The sequence below is a fragment of the Homo sapiens genome, chromosome 4 (genome assembly GCF_000001405.40).
Source record: "Homo sapiens chromosome 4, GRCh38.p14 Primary Assembly".
Lineage (NCBI taxonomy): Eukaryota > Metazoa > Chordata > Mammalia > Primates > Hominidae > Homo > Homo sapiens.
The window spans coordinates 1,248,780-1,265,171 of NC_000004.12; the positions used below are offsets into that span (position 1 = coordinate 1,248,780).

At 47.8% G+C, this 16,392-nt stretch overlaps 1 protein-coding gene and 1 long non-coding RNA gene across 9 annotated transcripts in view, besides 3 other annotated features; one reads left to right on the forward strand and one right to left on the reverse strand.

The window, feature by feature from the left end:
• Positions 1-1,576, reverse strand: part of CTBP1 (C-terminal binding protein 1) — a 38,911-nt gene extending 37,335 nt beyond the window's left edge. For 4 of the 8 annotated variants that reach the window (NM_001328.3, NM_001377186.1, NM_001012614.2 and 1 more), the window contains exon 1: positions 137-351. In NM_001328.3, the coding sequence (NP_001319.1) occupies positions 137-176 (40 nt within the window). In that variant the 5' untranslated portion in view covers positions 177-351. Of the gene's footprint in view, positions 1-136; positions 352-869; positions 1,212-1,380 lie in introns of those variants that run through there. The other 4 variants (NM_001377192.1, NM_001377189.1, NM_001377193.1 and 1 more) reach the window with 2 other exon arrangements.
• Positions 130-1,059: a silencer, noted in NCBI's record as "silent region_15125". NCBI's record gives its function as "represses an Ori minimal core promoter by ATAC-STARR-seq in GM12878 lymphoblastoid cells {active_cell/tissue: GM12878}" and the evidence as "EXISTENCE:reporter gene assay evidence [ECO:0000049][PMID:35858748]".
• On the forward strand, positions 661-4,228 carry CTBP1-DT (CTBP1 divergent transcript). The gene is made up of 2 exons (NR_033339.1): positions 661-693; positions 1,332-4,228. It is a non-coding gene; the product is annotated as a CTBP1 divergent transcript (long non-coding RNA).
• Positions 1,430-1,479: an enhancer, noted in NCBI's record as "active region_21150". NCBI's record gives its function as "activates an Ori minimal core promoter by ATAC-STARR-seq in GM12878 lymphoblastoid cells {active_cell/tissue: GM12878}" and the evidence as "EXISTENCE:reporter gene assay evidence [ECO:0000049][PMID:35858748]".
• Positions 1,540-1,629: an enhancer, noted in NCBI's record as "active region_21151". NCBI's record gives its function as "activates an Ori minimal core promoter by ATAC-STARR-seq in GM12878 lymphoblastoid cells {active_cell/tissue: GM12878}" and the evidence as "EXISTENCE:reporter gene assay evidence [ECO:0000049][PMID:35858748]".

Below are 16,392 nucleotides of genomic sequence, written 5' to 3' on the forward strand. Positions count from 1 at the left end.
CGCGCACGCGCACTCGCACACAAAGCCGGCGGCCCGCGGGCGCGCGCTCGGTCCGCCCCCGCGCCCCCCGCCCGCGCGGCACCCGCCCCGCCCCGCCCCCGCCCGCGGCCGGAAACGCGCGCGCGCGCGGCCTTACCAAGCGGCAGGCCCTTGTTGAGCAAGTGCGAGCTGCCCATCGAGAGGCGCGAGCGGCCGCGGGCCCCGACCACTCCGGCGCGCTGCGCCGCCGCGAGCCCGGCGCGTGGGGCGGCCTCGGCGCCGTCCGCTGCTCCGCCCGCCCGCCTGCGCCTGGCCGCCGCCGTGCCGAGTCTCCGCCGCGCCGCTGAGCCGCGCTCCGACGACCGCGCGGGCGGGGACACGGCGGCGCGCGCGGGCGGGGCCTCGCGGTTGGTCTCCTGGTTCCCAGCGCGGGCGGCGCACGGACTCACGCGGGCGGCTCAGGGCCCGCCCGGCCGGGACGCGGCTGCGGGGCGGGGCGGGGCGGGAGCCTGGCGGGAAGCTCGCGGGGCTGCAGCCCGGCGGAGGCCCCGGGCCTGGTGTTCCGCACGTTCTAAACCGCCTGTCCCCGAGGAAGTCGGGCAGGGTCGGGCCGGACTCAGCGCCGCTGGCGGGAGCGCCGTCCGCCCCGAGGACCCTGCGGGCCCGGAAGCCGAGACAGGGCCGCCCACGTCAGCGCCTGGCGCGGGCCCGAACGTAAATGGCGCTCCTCCGCGCCGCAGCCGCAGCCGCCCCGCTCCCTTCCCGCTCCGCCAGCTGCCGCCCTCCCGCGCTCGCTTCTCGCCCCGCGGCCTGGCCCGTGCGCCTCCGAGGCTGGCCAGGGGCACCGAGGCCGCGGGCCCCCCATCGCCCCCACCCGAGCCCTGATTTACCGTCCGAGAGCCGGCGGCACATGGGACCCCGAGAGGAGAAGCGCGCCTGCCCCAGTGCGTCCCCAGGCGGGGGAGCCCCGACTCCTGGAGGGACCGCGTCCTGCCCGGCCCGGGAAGTTCAGGGCTGGAGAACCCCTTCCCCGACCCCATTTCTCTTTTAACAAGAGTAGGGTTTGTAGCTAACCAACGTCCTGACAGCTCAGCTCTGCTTTCCCTTTAAGCATTAATATCAAAGCCCTGCCTGCTACCGGTGAAGCCCCGACCCGGGAGGGCCCGAAAGTCCCTTCAGGGAGAGGCCGCACTGGGCCTGCTCACCCAGGGGCTGCCCCTGCAGACTCTCCCGAGGGGCCCAGGGATATTCCTCGCGCCGCGAGTGGACGCTTCCATCCACCCCATGGGGAGGGCCTCTGCGCGTGGCTACTCTGAGCCCTCTGGAATGCCGAGATAGTTGCATAATTTCAGAAACCACGGCATGGAGACGGAATGATGCAGACTCCTATCCGCGAGATACCTGCTGTAATTTCGCTGTGGTTCGTGAGGACGCGTCCTGGGCTGCCCTGAGAAGCCTACGTCTCCCCTTCGAGGCCCGGGAAGACCTCCAACCCCGCTGACAATGCTGGGCCCTCAGCCAGACCTGCCCTGCGTGCCACGTTCTGTTCTAAGATCGGGCTGCCGAGCTGTGGCCTGGAGGAAACCTGGCAGGTGTCACCAGAGCTTTGGGGAGGGTGAGGCCCTGTCGGGGAAGCCCAGTGGGAGTCATGAAGGAGGGAACACGTGTGGAGCCCTTGTAGGGGGAGGGGCAGCCCTGCAGAGATCTAAGAAAAAATTCCAGAAAAATGAGCAGCAACCTCCAAGGCCAGGCATCGGTGCAGGGGACAAGGGGTCGTAGCTGGAGGGGCCTAGGTGAGGCTGCCGGGAAGGGACGATGTGGTTGGTGGAGTGCACAGGCAGGGACCTCACTGGACTTTCCTGTCTGCTCAGCATGGACAGGCAGCCCAGGAGAAGGCAGCACGTGGCCGGGTGCAGGGACGTACCACCCCCACTTCCCCAGGGGAGCTGGGGTCAGACGAGTCCCAGGCACTCCATCCTCTGCAGCAAGTCAGGTTGTGATTTACTAGGGGGTGGTGAATATAATGGAGAGACTTCTGGGGAGGAATTCCTGGCTCCCGCGTGGACTTGCAGAGCTCAACAGGCAGCCACGTGGCTGAGTGTCCAGCAAACATCACATAAGGCTTTGGGTCCTGCAGGTGGGGCTGCCATGAGCAGCAAGCTCAGTCCAGAAGAACAGTTCCTCTCCAGGATCCACTTCCTGCGCACTTTTATGTGCAGTGTAGCTGGAGCAGAGCTCCCCGGAATTCCACAGGCAACTGAGAACGGAGAGGGATGCAGGCCAGCCAGGGATCCAGCGTCTTCCCCATCGTCACTCTCCATGGCCTCCGTCTACACACAGTGTTCGTCTGCACAGCTTGTCAGCGCGTTATCATGACTTCTATTTGGCACCGGCCCGTCTGTCCACTGTCCTGGCTTGTTCCAAGCGCTGCCTTCTCCAACTGGGGTCCTGGCTGCAGAGCTGTCTGCTCCCCACGTTGGGCAACTCCAGCCAAGATTCCTACACCCAAATGTGACCGTGTTGCTCACGAAGAAGGCTCAGCTTTGCGTGTGCCCAGCCGTGTGCACAGCTCGTCCCAACTCCTGCGGGTGGCACCTGCCTCTCCCACCTCCAGTCTTTCCCCTGTGATGAGCAGATGACCACCGCCCTCCAGGGTCAGCGTTTGGCTGTTTGTGTGCCTGCCCACCCGCCTCCCTGTGCCTGGGCCTGCCCTGTGCCTGCACACAGGAGTGGCTCATGGCGTTTGCCCTACACGGATGGGCTGTCCTGGGAGCTACTGGACAGTCACCTTGGTGGGAATGCCAGAGGCATGGGCATTAGGTCCCCCCGGCCAGCCTCCGTTGCCACATGGGCTATTTTTGTCCATCGCGTGGGACAACCTAGTATTGGGGGAAAACTCAGTCCACTCTAAAGAAGCATCGGCGTTTTGGATGGACGAATGCTGCTTCATGCGACTCCATGTCAATGGACTATTTTATTCAACTCGGGTATTTATGAGTGTCTCCTCTGTGCCAGCCACGTGTGAAAGAAGAACTCCAAGTTACTGGACACCAGGACAAACCAGGTAGATCACTGCATCCGGTTCCTCCTCTTTCTGCCGACTCTCCCGGGCAACCGTTCTGATTCCTGGCATGGAGTTGGGGGCGAGCTCATCAGTACCCAGAGCGCCTGGTGTGCAGCCAAAGGCCCCCATTTTATTAGTCGGTGTGTTCAGTATCACGCTCAAGACAAGGGCCAACCTATTACTTCACACACCTCAAATACAAAAAGTGCCTGGGAACGTCGATGAGGTATTAAAGGAAACCACTGGTCTTGTCAGTCATGTACACACAGAAAAAAAAACCAGTCATTTTTATTTTTATTTTTTGAGACAGAGTTTCGCTCTTGTTGCCCAGGCTGGAGTGCAATGGTGCAATTTCAGCTCACTGCAATCTCTGCCACCCGGATTCAAGCAATTCTCCTGTCTCAGCCTCCCGAGTAGCTGGAATTGCAGACACCCATCACCACGCCCAGCTAATTTTATGTATTTTTAGTAGAGATGGGGTTTCACCATGTTGGTCAGGCTGGTCTTGAACTCCTGACCTCAGGTGATCCACCCACGTCAGGCTCCCAAAGTGCTGAGATTACAGGCATGAACCACTGTGCCCAGCCGAAAACAACCAAGAATTTTTTAACAATAAAATGACCAGCAAGTAAACTTGAAACAAAAATGGACAAATATCTAAAATATTTTTAAATGTATGTATTTTAATTGGCAAATAATACTTGTATATATTGTTTACAACTTGTTTTAAAGTATGAATACATTGTGGAATGGCTAAATCAAGTTAATTAACATGCATTAACTCACATACTTTTTGTTTTTTGGTGTGGTGAGGACACTTAACATCTACTCTCTTAGCAATTTTCCAGTCACCATGTCCTACTATAGATCCCTAGAACATATTCCTCCAATGTAACTGAAATGTATCCCTTGACCAACATCACTGCCCGGCCCCAGCCCCAGGTAAACACCATTCTACCCTCTGCTTCTGTGAGTTCAGCTTTTCTAGATTTCACCTGTGAGTGAGATTGTGCAGCATTTGTCTTTCTGTGCCTGGGTTTTTTCACATAATGCCCTTCTGGTTCATCTATATTGTCATATATGGTAGCATTGTCTTCCTTTGTAAGGCTGACTGGTATACCATTGCGTATATACACCACATTGTTTACCTAAAATATTTTTTAATACAATCGCTGAAAACTGCCACATAACTTGTATAACTGCTGTAAGGCTTGGTTTTCAGCCATAAGATGGGAAGAGAAGTAACATCTACCTTGCAGGATGACTGCAAGCTGTAAAATGCCACAAAGCGCAGGGGAGCCCAGAACCGCCGCAGCAGGACAGGTCCTCTGGAAGCAGACAGACCTGCCTTGTTACTTTAGCCATCCAGAGTCCAGTTTAGCCAGTGATGAAATGAGTACAAAAGAACACCTTTCTTGTAGGATTGCAAAATGATGTCTTCATCCATTCTGTGCTGCTATAGCAGACTCCTGCACACTGGGTAACTGACAGCTTACAGAAGCTTGTTGGCTTATGGTTCTGGAGGCTGGGAAGTCCAACCTCAAGGGGCTGCATCTGGTGAGGGCTTTCTTGTTGCATCATCACATCGCAGAATAGCAGAAGGGCAAGGAGAGAGAGAGAAAAGAGTGCTGAACCCACCCTTTGATAAGAAGCCCACTCCCATGATAATAGCACCAGCCCATTCAGGAGGGCAAAGCCCTCGTGGCTGCATCGCCTCTCAAAGGTTCCACCTCTCAAGATCATCACAATGACAATCAAACTTCATGAATTTTGGAGGGGACAATTATTCAAACCAGAACAGAGGGGGATGGCAAATGTTCTGAAAACAAGCCTAGAAATTGATCTTAGAAATGGTGCAAAAGTAGATTTCCCCTTCTGTCTTTACCTGTGATGGTCTAACCCCAAAAGCCTCCCAGAACAGAACTTGTGAGCACAAGATAGAAACAACAAACTTGATGCAGAGCTGAGCTCACAAGGAGGTCAGGGATGTGACAGGAACCAGAGACAAACAGAAGGCTGAAAACCAGGTCTTAAAGTGTGAGAGCCAAAGGGCAGCAGCCCAGGAGAGTGTTCGTCTGGAGCCCCGGGGTTTAAGTCTCCACACTCACATGGGAAAGGAGACGAGGCCTCCCTGGATCCACGTGAATCAGGAACTGGAACAAGGGCACTCAAAGGGCTACGCCATCAGGAGAGATGTGAATGAGTGTGCCCACAGGAACAGGAAGACAACAGGATGGTTCTGTGTTTGCCTGCCTGTTGTGGTTCTGTGAGACAGAAACAGTTTTGATGACAATTGATAATCAGGACTCAGAGCCTTGTTAGACTTCAGGTATTGAATTTTTTTTTGAGACAGGGTCTAGCTGTGTTGCCCAGGCTGGTCTTGAACTCCTGGGCCCAAGTGATCCTCCTACCTTGGCCTCCCAAAGTGCTGGGATTACAGGCATGAGCTACCGTGCCCAGCCTAGGTATCGAATTTTCACAGGTTTCACAGTCCAGGCCCTACCACCCCTGCAGCAAATAACTTGATATAAAACCTGGGCCCAGGCTAGTAATACCCTTGAAGCCCATGACAGAAGCAGGCACAGTGATAGAAGCAAAATCACGTAGACATTATCAATCTAGCCCCCTCCAATTCCTACCCATAAAGCCCACTGAAGATGAATTTACAATCATAAAGTACAAAACATGCCAAGAAAGAACCACATGAGGGAAGTCAGCAGATGTGTGAACAGCAGGAACGGACTCCGCCACCAAAGGCCTTCAAAAGGTGAATCAAGCAAAAAAGAGAACATTAATTAAACATGTTTAACATGGGTAAGAATTACAGGAATAAAAGAAGTAAATGAACAAGAATACGATTGCAAGGGAGTGGTAGAAGAATAGGCAGTTTTGAAGAACTAAATGGAATATCTAGAATGAAAAACCATGCTTGCTAAAATTAACTCAATGAGTGAGTTTAAAAAGCAATTTAGACCCAGCTGAGAGCTGAATTTGTGGTATATGCAGAAATTACTTCTGATGCGAGGCAGAGCATGATGACAGAATGAGGAGATCCCAAACATCTATGAGAGTTCCATTCTGAATGATTAGAAGAATGAGGAAGCAACAGTATTTAAAAAGATAATCACTAAGAAAGTTCTATACTTGATGAAAAATGTGAATCCTAAGATTCAGGAACAGTGTGAGACTTCAGCTGGGGAAAAAAGATGAAACTACACTTCTACATTTAGGAGTAAAACTACAGAATACAAAAGACAAAAAAATTTTAAAGTGAAAAATAAAACCACTCAGATTACATCAAAAGCAGTTATCATGAAAGCAGCCTATCAATTACAATGATAAAAGCCAAGCAATAGTCAAATATCGATTTTTTTCAAAGTCACAAGATAAAATAAGTAGTAACATAGGATTCTGTACATAGCATTATTTGTTACCTATTGGGGCATAACAAAATTCCCCAAAACTTTGCAGCTTAAAAAACATTCAGTATTTCACCATTGCCATGAGTCAGGAATCCAGGCGTGGCTTGAGTCCTCTGCATATTGGCTTCTCACCAGACTGCAATCAGGACAATAGCACAGTATCTGTGGTCTCATCTGAAGGCTTGCCTGAGGAAGTCTGCATCCAAGCTTACTCTTCGTTGGCTGTTGGGCAGAGGCACCCTCAGCTCCCAGCCATGTAGGCTTTCCCATGGTGCAGCTTCTATCAACAAAGCACGCCAGACAAGAGGACAACACACAGTCTTCTAGGAAGAAGAAAGCCACAATCTTTTTTTAAAAAGCAAAGCAATATTTATGTAATTGCCACTTGGTTTGAGAAGTAGAACACTGTGTCAAAAACCCCTCCAAAGCCCCCGCCAGTAACTGCCCTCCTCCTTCTCCCCAGTGCAACCACTGCCCTCACTTCTGTCTTTTTTTCAACTTTTAAAAATTGTGGTAAAATGCATATAACTTAAAATTACAACCTTAATCATTTTAAGTGTACAGTTTGGTGGTGGTAAATACACTCGTGATGTGCAACCATCACCACCATGCATCTGTATAGAACTCTTTCCATCTTGTAAAACTGAAACTCTGTCTCCATTAAACAATAATTCATCATTTCCCTTCCCCTGGCCCTAGTACCCACCATTCCACTTTCTGTTTCTATAATTTTGACTACTCTAACTACCTCATATAAGTGGAATTCTGTGGTAGTTGTATTTTTAGCAACTGGCTTATTTCGCTTGGTGCAGTGTCCTCAAGATTCATCCATGTTGCAGCCTGTGTCAGAATCTCATCCCTTTTTAAGGCTAAATAGTATCCCATTGTTCATACCACGTTCTGCTTATTCATTTATCCATCAGTGGGCACTTGGGTTGTGATATGGTTTGGCTGTGTCCCCACCCAAATCTCATCTTGAATTGTGGCTCCCACAATTCCCACATGTTGTGGGAGGGACCCAGTGGGAAGTAATTGAATCATGGGGGCAGGTCTTTCCCATGCTGTTCTCGTGGTGGTGGATAAGTCTCACGAGATCTGATGGTTTTATAAAGGGGAGTTTTCCTGCACAAGTTCTCTTCTCTTGTCTGCCGCCATGTGATATGTGCACTTCACCTTCTGCCATGATTGTGAGGTCTCCCCAGCCACGTGAAACTGTGAGTCCATTAAACCTCTTTTTCCTTATAAATTACCCAGTCTTGCATATGTCTTTATCAGCAGCATGAAAATGGACTAATACAGGTTGCTTTCATGTTTTAGCTATTGTGAATAATGCTGCCATGAACATGTGCATACAAATATCTCTTTGAGAGCCTGCTTTCAATTATTTGGGGTATATGTGCAGAAATCTAGTTGCTGGGTAACTCTATTTTTAATTTTTTGGGGAAGCACCATACTGTTTTCCATCGTGGATGTACCATTTCACATTCCCAGCAACAGTGCAGAAGGGTTCCAGTTTCTCCACATCCTCGCCAACACTAGTTATTTTCTGGATTTTTTGTGTGTTTTTTTGTTTGCTTGTTTGTTTTATTAATATAGTAACCAACCTAATGGTGTTAGGTGGTATATCATTGCAGTTTTGTTTGGTTTTTGTTTTGTTTTTTGTTTTTGAGACAGGGTCTCACTCTGTTTCCCATGCTGGAGTATAAGTGGTGCAATCATAGCTTACTGCAGACTTGACCTCCTGGGCTCCAGTGATCCTCCTACTCAGTCTCCTGAGTAGCTGGAAATACAGGCATACACCACCATGCCTGGCTAATTTTAAATTTTATTTTATTTTATTTTATTTTTAGAGAAGTGGTGTGGGGGGGTCTCACTATGTTGCTCAGGTTGGTCTTGAACTGGGCTCAAGCAATCCCTTAGCCTCGCCAAGTGCTGGGATTACAGGTGTGAGCCACTGTTCCCCAGCCTTATTGTAGTTTAGATATGCATTTGCCTAATGAATGGTGACGTCAAGCATTTTTATATACATATTGCCCATTTGAGTACTTATTTAGAGAAATGTCTATTCAAGTCATGTGTCTATTTTTGAATCAGCTTTTTGTTTCATTGTAGAGTTTTAGGAGTTTTCTACATATTAAGGATACTAATTCCTGATCACATACACAACTTGCAACTATTTTCTCCCATCTAGTGAGTTGCCTCTTTACTCTGTTGACATTGTTTTTTGCCTGTGCTTTTGTTGTCATATCCAAGAAATTATTGCCAAATCCAAAGTTGTATAGCTTTGTCTTATTATTATTTTTTAGAGTTTTACAGTTTTAGATTGTACATTTAGGTTTTTGTAGTTTGTATATGGTGTGAGGCAAAAGGTCCAGCTTTATTCTTCTGCAAATTAATGTCCTGTTTTCCCAACACCGCTTGTCAAAAAGACTATTATTTTCCCCACTGGACGGTCTCAGCACCTTGTCAAAGATTATTTGACCATATATGTGAAGGTTTATTTCTGAACTCTGTGTTCTATTTCATTGACCTATGTGTCTGTCTCTATGCCAGTGTGGTACTGGCATAAAGATAGACATGTAGGTCCAGGGTACCACACTGGTATGACGACAGACTGTAGATTACTGTATTCTTGATCACTGTAGCTTTATAGTGAGTTTACCAGATTATGAAATTATTGATTACTATAGCTTTGTAGTAAGTATTGAAATCAGGAAGTGTGAGTCCTCTAACTTTCTTCTTTTCTTTCAACATTGCTTTTGCTATTTGGGATCCCTTGAGATTCTATATGAGTTTTAGGATGGGTTTTTCCATTTCTGAGAAAAAAAGGCTTTGTGGTTTTGATGGGGTAGAATTAAATCTGTAGATTACTTTGAGTACTATTGACATCTTCCAATCCATGAACATGGGATGTCTTCTTTATTTATTTATGTCTTCTTTAATTTCTTACCGCAATTTTTTTGTAGTTGTCAGTACAGAAGTCTTTAACCTCCTCAGTTAAGCTGATTCCTAAATATTTTATTTTATTCTTTTTGCTGCTACTGTAAGTAGAATTGTTTTCATAATTTGCTTTTTGGACTGTTCATTGTTAGTTAGCATGAACAATGTATTGATTTTTTATCCTGCTACTTAGCTGAATTCATTTATTAGTTCATTTATTTTTCATGCCTAATTGTTCTGGCTAGCACTTTTAGTACTATGCTGAATAGCAGTGGGGAAACAGGCACCCTTCCTGTGGGTTTTTCGTATATGGCTTTTATTATGTAATGTTGAGGCAGTTTCCTTTTATTCCTAGTTTGTTAAGTGTTTTTCTTTAAATCATAAAATGTGTTGAATTTTGTCAAATGCTGCCACTGCATCAATTCAGATGGTTATGTGGGAGATTTTCCCCTTCTGGAAATGTTGTGTATTGCACTGATCCATTTTCAGTTGAGCCGTCTTAGTACTCCAAGAATAAGTCACACTTGGTCATAGTGTGTAATCCTTTTTTTAATATGCTGCTGAATTAGGTTTGCTAGTATTTTGTTGAGAATTTTCACATCTATATTCATCAGGGATGTTAGTTCTGTAGTTGTTTTGTTTTGTTTGAGACAGGGTCTTGCTCTGTTGCCCAGGCTGGAGTGCAGTAATGCAATCTTGGCTTACTGCAGCCTATACCTCCTGGCTCAAGCCATTCTCCTACCTCAGTTTCCTGAGTAGCTGGGACTACAGGCACATGCCACCATGCCCAGCTAATTTTTGTATTTTATGTAAAGATGGGGCTTCCCCATGTTTCCCAGGCTGTTCTTGAACTCCTGAGCTTCCACCTCAGCCTCCCACAGTGCTGGGGCTGCAGGCATGAGCCACTGTGTCTGGCCCTGGTCTGTAGTTTTCTTTCTTTAAATTTTTTTTTTTTTTTTTTTTTAGAGACAGGGTCTTGCTCTGCTGCCTAGGCTGGAGTGCAGTGGTGCGATCATGGCTCATTGCAGCCTGGAACTCCCGGGCTCAAGTGATCTTCCCACCTTAGCCTCCCAAGTAGCTAGGACTACAGGCATGCACCACCACACCAGCCTATTTTATTCTTTTGTAGAGATGGGGTCTCAATATGTTGCCCAGGCTGGTCTTGAACTCCTGGTTTCAAGTGATCCTCCTGCCTCAGCCTCCCAAAGTACTTGGATTACAGGTGTGATTTGCCACACTTAGCCCAGTTTTCTTTTCTCATAGTGTCTTCGTCTGGCTTTGGCATCAGGATAATGTTGGCCTCATAGAATAGTTAGGAAGTAGTCCTTCGCCTTCAGTTTTTCTGAAGCGTTTGAGAAGAATCGGTATTCTTCATCCAATATTTGGGAGAATTTGCCAGTGAAGCCATCAAGTCCAGGGCTTTTCTTTGTCAGATTTTTCATTACTGATTCAATCTCCACATTAGTTATAATTCTGTTAAGACTTTCTATTTATTCCTGATTTGTTTCTCAGTAGATTTTGTGTCTCTAGGAATTTGTTTATTTCATCCATGTTATCCAATGTGTTGGCATACAATTGTTCATAGTACTCTCTTACAATTTTTTTTTATTTCTATAGAGTCAGTAGTAATGTGCCCACTTTCATTTCTGATTTAGTAACTGGAGTTTTCCCTCTATTTTCTTAGTCCATCTAGTGAAAGGCTTGTTAATTTTGTTGATCTTTCAAAGAACTAACTTTTGGTTTTACTGGTTTTTCTCTATTGTTTTTCAATTCTTTATTTCATTTATCTCTTCTCTAACCTTCAGTATTTCTTTTCTTCTGCTAGCTTTGGGTTTAGTTTATTCTTCTTTTTCTAGCTCCTTAAGTTGTAAAGTTAGGTTGCGGGTTTGAGATCTTGCTAGTTTTTTAGTGTAAGCATTTATAACTATGAACTTCCCCTGTGGCACTGCTTTTGCAGCATCCTGTAAGTGCTGGTCTGCTGCGTTTTCGTTTTCATTCTAAGTATTTTCTTTTTCCCTTGTGATTTCTTCTCTGGACTGTTGGTTGTTTAAGAGTGTGTTGTTTAACTTCCAGAAATTTGTGGATTTTTCAGTTTTACTTCTGTTATTGATTTCTAACGTTATCCTATTGTGGTTGGAGAAGAGTTTGTATGATACCTACATTTTAAAATTGATTGAGACCTAATTTGTGGCCTAACAGATGGTGTATCCTGGAAAATGACTCATGCTTATTTGAGAAGGATGTATATGCTGCTATTGTTCTTGGTAGAATGTCTGGATGTGTGTTAGATCTAGTTGGTTTATTGTGTTGCTGCCCGCCGCTGCCCTACACTCCTCTCACCCAACTACGCATCCAACTCTGCTGAACAGTGAGCTAACACAGCACAGACTGCCCGCCCTACATGCCTCTTACCCAACTACGTGTCCAACTCTGCTGAAACCCGAGCTAACACAGCACAGGCTGCCCGCCGCTGCCCTACACGCCTCTCACCCAGCTAGACTCGCATCCAACTCTGCTGAACCACCAGCTAACACAGCACAGGCTGCCCGCCGCTGCCCTACACGCCTCTCACCCAGCTAGACTCACTGTCCAACTCTGCTGAACCACCAGCTAACACAGCACAGACTGCTCGCCGCTGCCCTACGCGCTTCTCACCCGGCTAGACTCGTGTCAAACTCCAAGCAGACTGGTGAGACAGCGCTGCTACAATACAGGGTACAGGAGCCAAGGGGACGGCGCACAGGGACTTCTGTGTAACCATTTGTGGCCTGGGACCCCAGAGCTAGTGTCTGGCAATGTTTGGGTTTAGACCTAGGGGTGATGGCTCCAGTCCTGCCCACTTTGCCCCATCCTCTGGGTCCCGAGCCTACCCTGGGCCTTTGGACTCCTGCCAGGCCTTGCGGCAGGTGCATCACACTGTTGGGTTCCTAAGTGCCACAGGCCTGGGATCAGCAGACATGAGGAACACCAACGGTGTCCCTGGAAAGCAATCCCCGGGGCTGGGTGAGGCAGGAGGAGTGTAGCAGGTGGGGAAGCTGGATAGAGGTGGCCAGGATGGGAGCTGTGCTCTGTGGGCCATGAGAAGGGTGGAAGGACTTGGGGGCAGGGAGAGATTTTGGGTTTGTCTTCATAAGGGTCACTCTGGCTGCTCTCAGGGGGATTGAAGGAGCAAGGCAGGGAGACACAGTGGCGTTCATGGTCATGGGGGAAGGGCTGCTTTCCAGCGGTAGGGCTGAGAAACGGTGAGGAAGAAGCCTGGGGTGGCGGGTGGCTTGCACTGACTCTGGGCTGCGGTCCTACCTAAGCTCCAGGGAGGACGGGGTTTCTGAGGAGACCTGGGGAACAGGACACATCCATGGAACCCCCCGGTGGAGGTGGATGGCCGATGAGCCTGGGGCCCAGAGGCAGCACTTGAAGTCACAGGAGCTAAGAGCAACAGTGGGTAAGGCAAGGAGAGGGGTCAGAGAAGCGTGGCCTGGGTCAGAGCGTGCCTTCCAGGGAGGTGAGTGAACCTAAGGGGAACCTGGCAGGAGGAGGGATGAGTAGGGTCTGCAGTAGAGACAATGGGGCTGGCAGGGCAGAGTTCGGGCAACGCGGACCTGCCTGGGGAGAAGCGGCTTGGAGCCGATGTGGACGGGTGCACATCCAGTGAACCACAGTGTCAGGGCGTGATCCCCGGGGTGGGGAACGTGAGGACCAGGAGGAGGGGCTGTTTGAGCAGGGAATTGGGTGCAGGGACCTTGGGCGCAGGTCTGAGGAGGGGGATATGGGCGACCCCTTCCTCTTCTCACACCAGGACGCCGGGGTGTCGCTCGTGGAGGATGGGGGATGGGATCGTTTCTTCATCCGTGCATCTTTTCAGGGATGTTTCCGTTGTTTCCGGATGTTTTCGTTTTTTGTTATTTCAAAGAAATCTGCAAACATTTGCACGTAGGTTTTTATGTGAATGTAAGTTTTTGATTCTCTGGAACAAGTGTCCAGCTGTGTGATTGCTGGGTTGTGAAGTAAGCGTATGTTTCACTTTTTAAGGACCCGTCAGACTGTCTCGCCAGCGTGGCTGGACCAGCTCACCTTCTCACCAGTGATATGTGAGAGCTCTGCGTTCTTGCCAACGTTTGGTGTTGTCACTATTTTTAATGTTATCCGTTTTAGCTGTTCTAATAGGTAGGTAGTGATCTCTCTCATTCGGGCTTTCCTTTGCATTTCCCGCGTGACTAGCACCGTTGGATGTCTTTTCATGCGCTTATTTGCCATCTGTATCCAGCTGTCTCTCAGTATCCATGCGGATTGGCTTCAGGGCGCTCCTCAGATACCAAAATCCCCGGATGCTCAAGTCCGTGATGTAAAATGGCACAGCATTTGCACATAACAAAGTATTCGCCCGTGTACTTTAAACCACCTTAGATTATTTATAATACTGAATGCAATGTAAATGCGATGTAAACAGTTGTTATGCTGTATTGTTTAGAGAATAATAACAAGAAAAGAGTCTATACATGTTCAAAACAAACACAATTTTTTTTTTCAAATATTTTGGATCCGTGGTTGGTAGAATCCACAGATGCAGAGCCCGTGGATACCGAGCGACGACTGTATTCTCTTTGGTAAAATTCTTCTTGTCTTTTGCCCATTTACTATTTGGGTGGTGTGGTTTTTTTGCTGTTGAGTTTGTTTTGAGTATATATATTCTAGATATAAGTCCTTTATCAGATGTGTGGTTTGCAGATATGCTCTCCTAACATGAAACTTGTTTTTTCATCCTCCTACCAGGATTTGTACAGAGCAAATGTTTTTAACTTTGCTAAAGTCCAATTTACCAAACATTTTATTTTATAGGTTGTACTTTCAGGGTCATGTCTAATATCTCTCAGCCAAACCCTAAGTCCTAAAGATTTTCTCCTATGTCTCCTTCTAAAAGTTTTATAATTTTACATTTAAACCTATACGATGATCAGTTTGAGCTAATTTTTGTTGAAGAAGTGATGTTTAAATCAAGGTGTTTTTGCTTTTTGTTTGGGTGTTTTTGTTTGTTTGTTTGTTTTTTGCATACAGGTGTCCAATTGCGCCAGGACCATTTGCTGAAAAGACTATCCTCTCCATTAGATTAAGTTTTCACCTTTGTCAAAACCCAGTTAGTTGTACTAGCATGGGTCGACTTCTGGGCACTCTATTCTGTAACATTGATCAATGTGCCTTTTCCTCCATGAATACCACATAACCTTCATTACTATGGTTATATATAGAGTAAGTCTTGAAATGGGACATACTGATTTCTCCCATTTTATTCTTATTTATTTACCTATTTATTTATTTATTTTTTTTAGGCAGAGTCTCACTCTGTCACCAGGCTGGAGTACTGTGGCGCGATCTCAGCTCACTACAACCTCCGCCTCCCAGATTCAAACAATTCTCCTGCCTCAGCCTCCTGAGTAGCTGAGATTACAGGCGTGCACCACCACGCCCAGCTAATTTTTTGTATTTTTAGTAGAGACGGGATTTCACCATGTTGGCCAGGATGGTCTCAATCTCTTGACCTTGTGATCTGCCCACCTCGGCCTCTCAAAGTGCTGGGATTACAGGCATGAGCCACCACACCCAGCCTCTTATTTTTATTTTTTAGAGACAAGGTCTTGCTCTGCCACCCAGGCTGGAGTGCAGTGGCACGATCATAGCTCACCACAGCCTCAAACTCCTGGGCTTAAGTGATCCTCCCATCTCAGCCTCCCAACTACCTAGGACTACAGGCGTGGACCACCATGCCTGCCTAATTTTTTAAAATTTATTTTTGTAGAGACAGACTGTCACTATGTTGCCTAGGCTGGTCTGAAACTACTGGCCTTAAGCAATCCTCTCACCTTGGCCTCCCAAAGTGCTGGGATTACAGGCATGAACCATTGGACTTGGCCCATTTTATTCTTTTTCAAATTGTTTTAGCTATCCTGGTTCCTTTGCGTTTCCATACAAACTTTAGAATGAGCTTATCTGTGGGTTTTTTTTCTTTTTTTTTGAGGTAAAGTTTCACTCTTGTTGCCCAGGCTGGAGCACAATGGCACGATCTCGGCTCACTGCAACCTCCGCCTCCTGAGTTCAAGCGATTCTCCTACCTCAGCCTCCCAAGTAGCTGGGACTACAGGCACGCACCACCACACATGGCTAAGTTTTGTATTTTTAGTAGAGACGGGGTTTCACCATGTTGGCCAGGCTGGTCTTGAACTCCTGACCTCAAGTGATCTGTCTGCCTTGGCCTCCCAAAGTGCTGGGATTACAGGCATGAGCCACCACGCCCAGCCAACCCTCCCACTTCTATTAAATAAAATGTCTGGGGAGCTGAATTTGGGCTGAGCTCCTGCACTAGACCCCAACAGACCAAACTAAAACGTGCTACGTGGCACATAATCAAACTGGAACTTTAAAAAGAACCACAGGAGGCCAGGCATGGTGGCTCACACCTGTAATCCCAGCACTTTGAGAGGCCAAAGCAGGAGGATCACTTGAGCTCAAGACCAGCCTGGACAACACAGTGAGATCTCATCTCTACAAAAAATCAAAAAATTAGCTGAGGGTGGTGGCACACGCCTGTGGTCCCTGCTACTCAGGAGGCTGGAGTGGGAGGATCCATTGAGCCCAGGAGATGGAGGCTGCCGTGAGCCATGACTGAGCCATTGCCCTGAAGCCTGCGTGACAGAGCAACAACCTGTCTCAAACAAACAAACAAACAAAAAACACCACGAGAAATCCCCAAATGGGCCAGTTTTCCAAAAACCAGAAGATTCATGGCAACCAATCAAAAGGGGCCCAGTCAACCCAAGCCGGCATAATCAGGAAGTCAATCCATACAAGGAAAATAGCCTCAGGAGAGCCGGGCTGCTTGTGCTGTGATGGTCCTTGCTACTGAAGCTGCCTTGTCATGGCTGGTCAGCTGCCATGCCCAAAGGAGCTCCTGTCTGTTTTGCAGGCTGGGTGCTGCCCAGTTCATGAATTACTAAT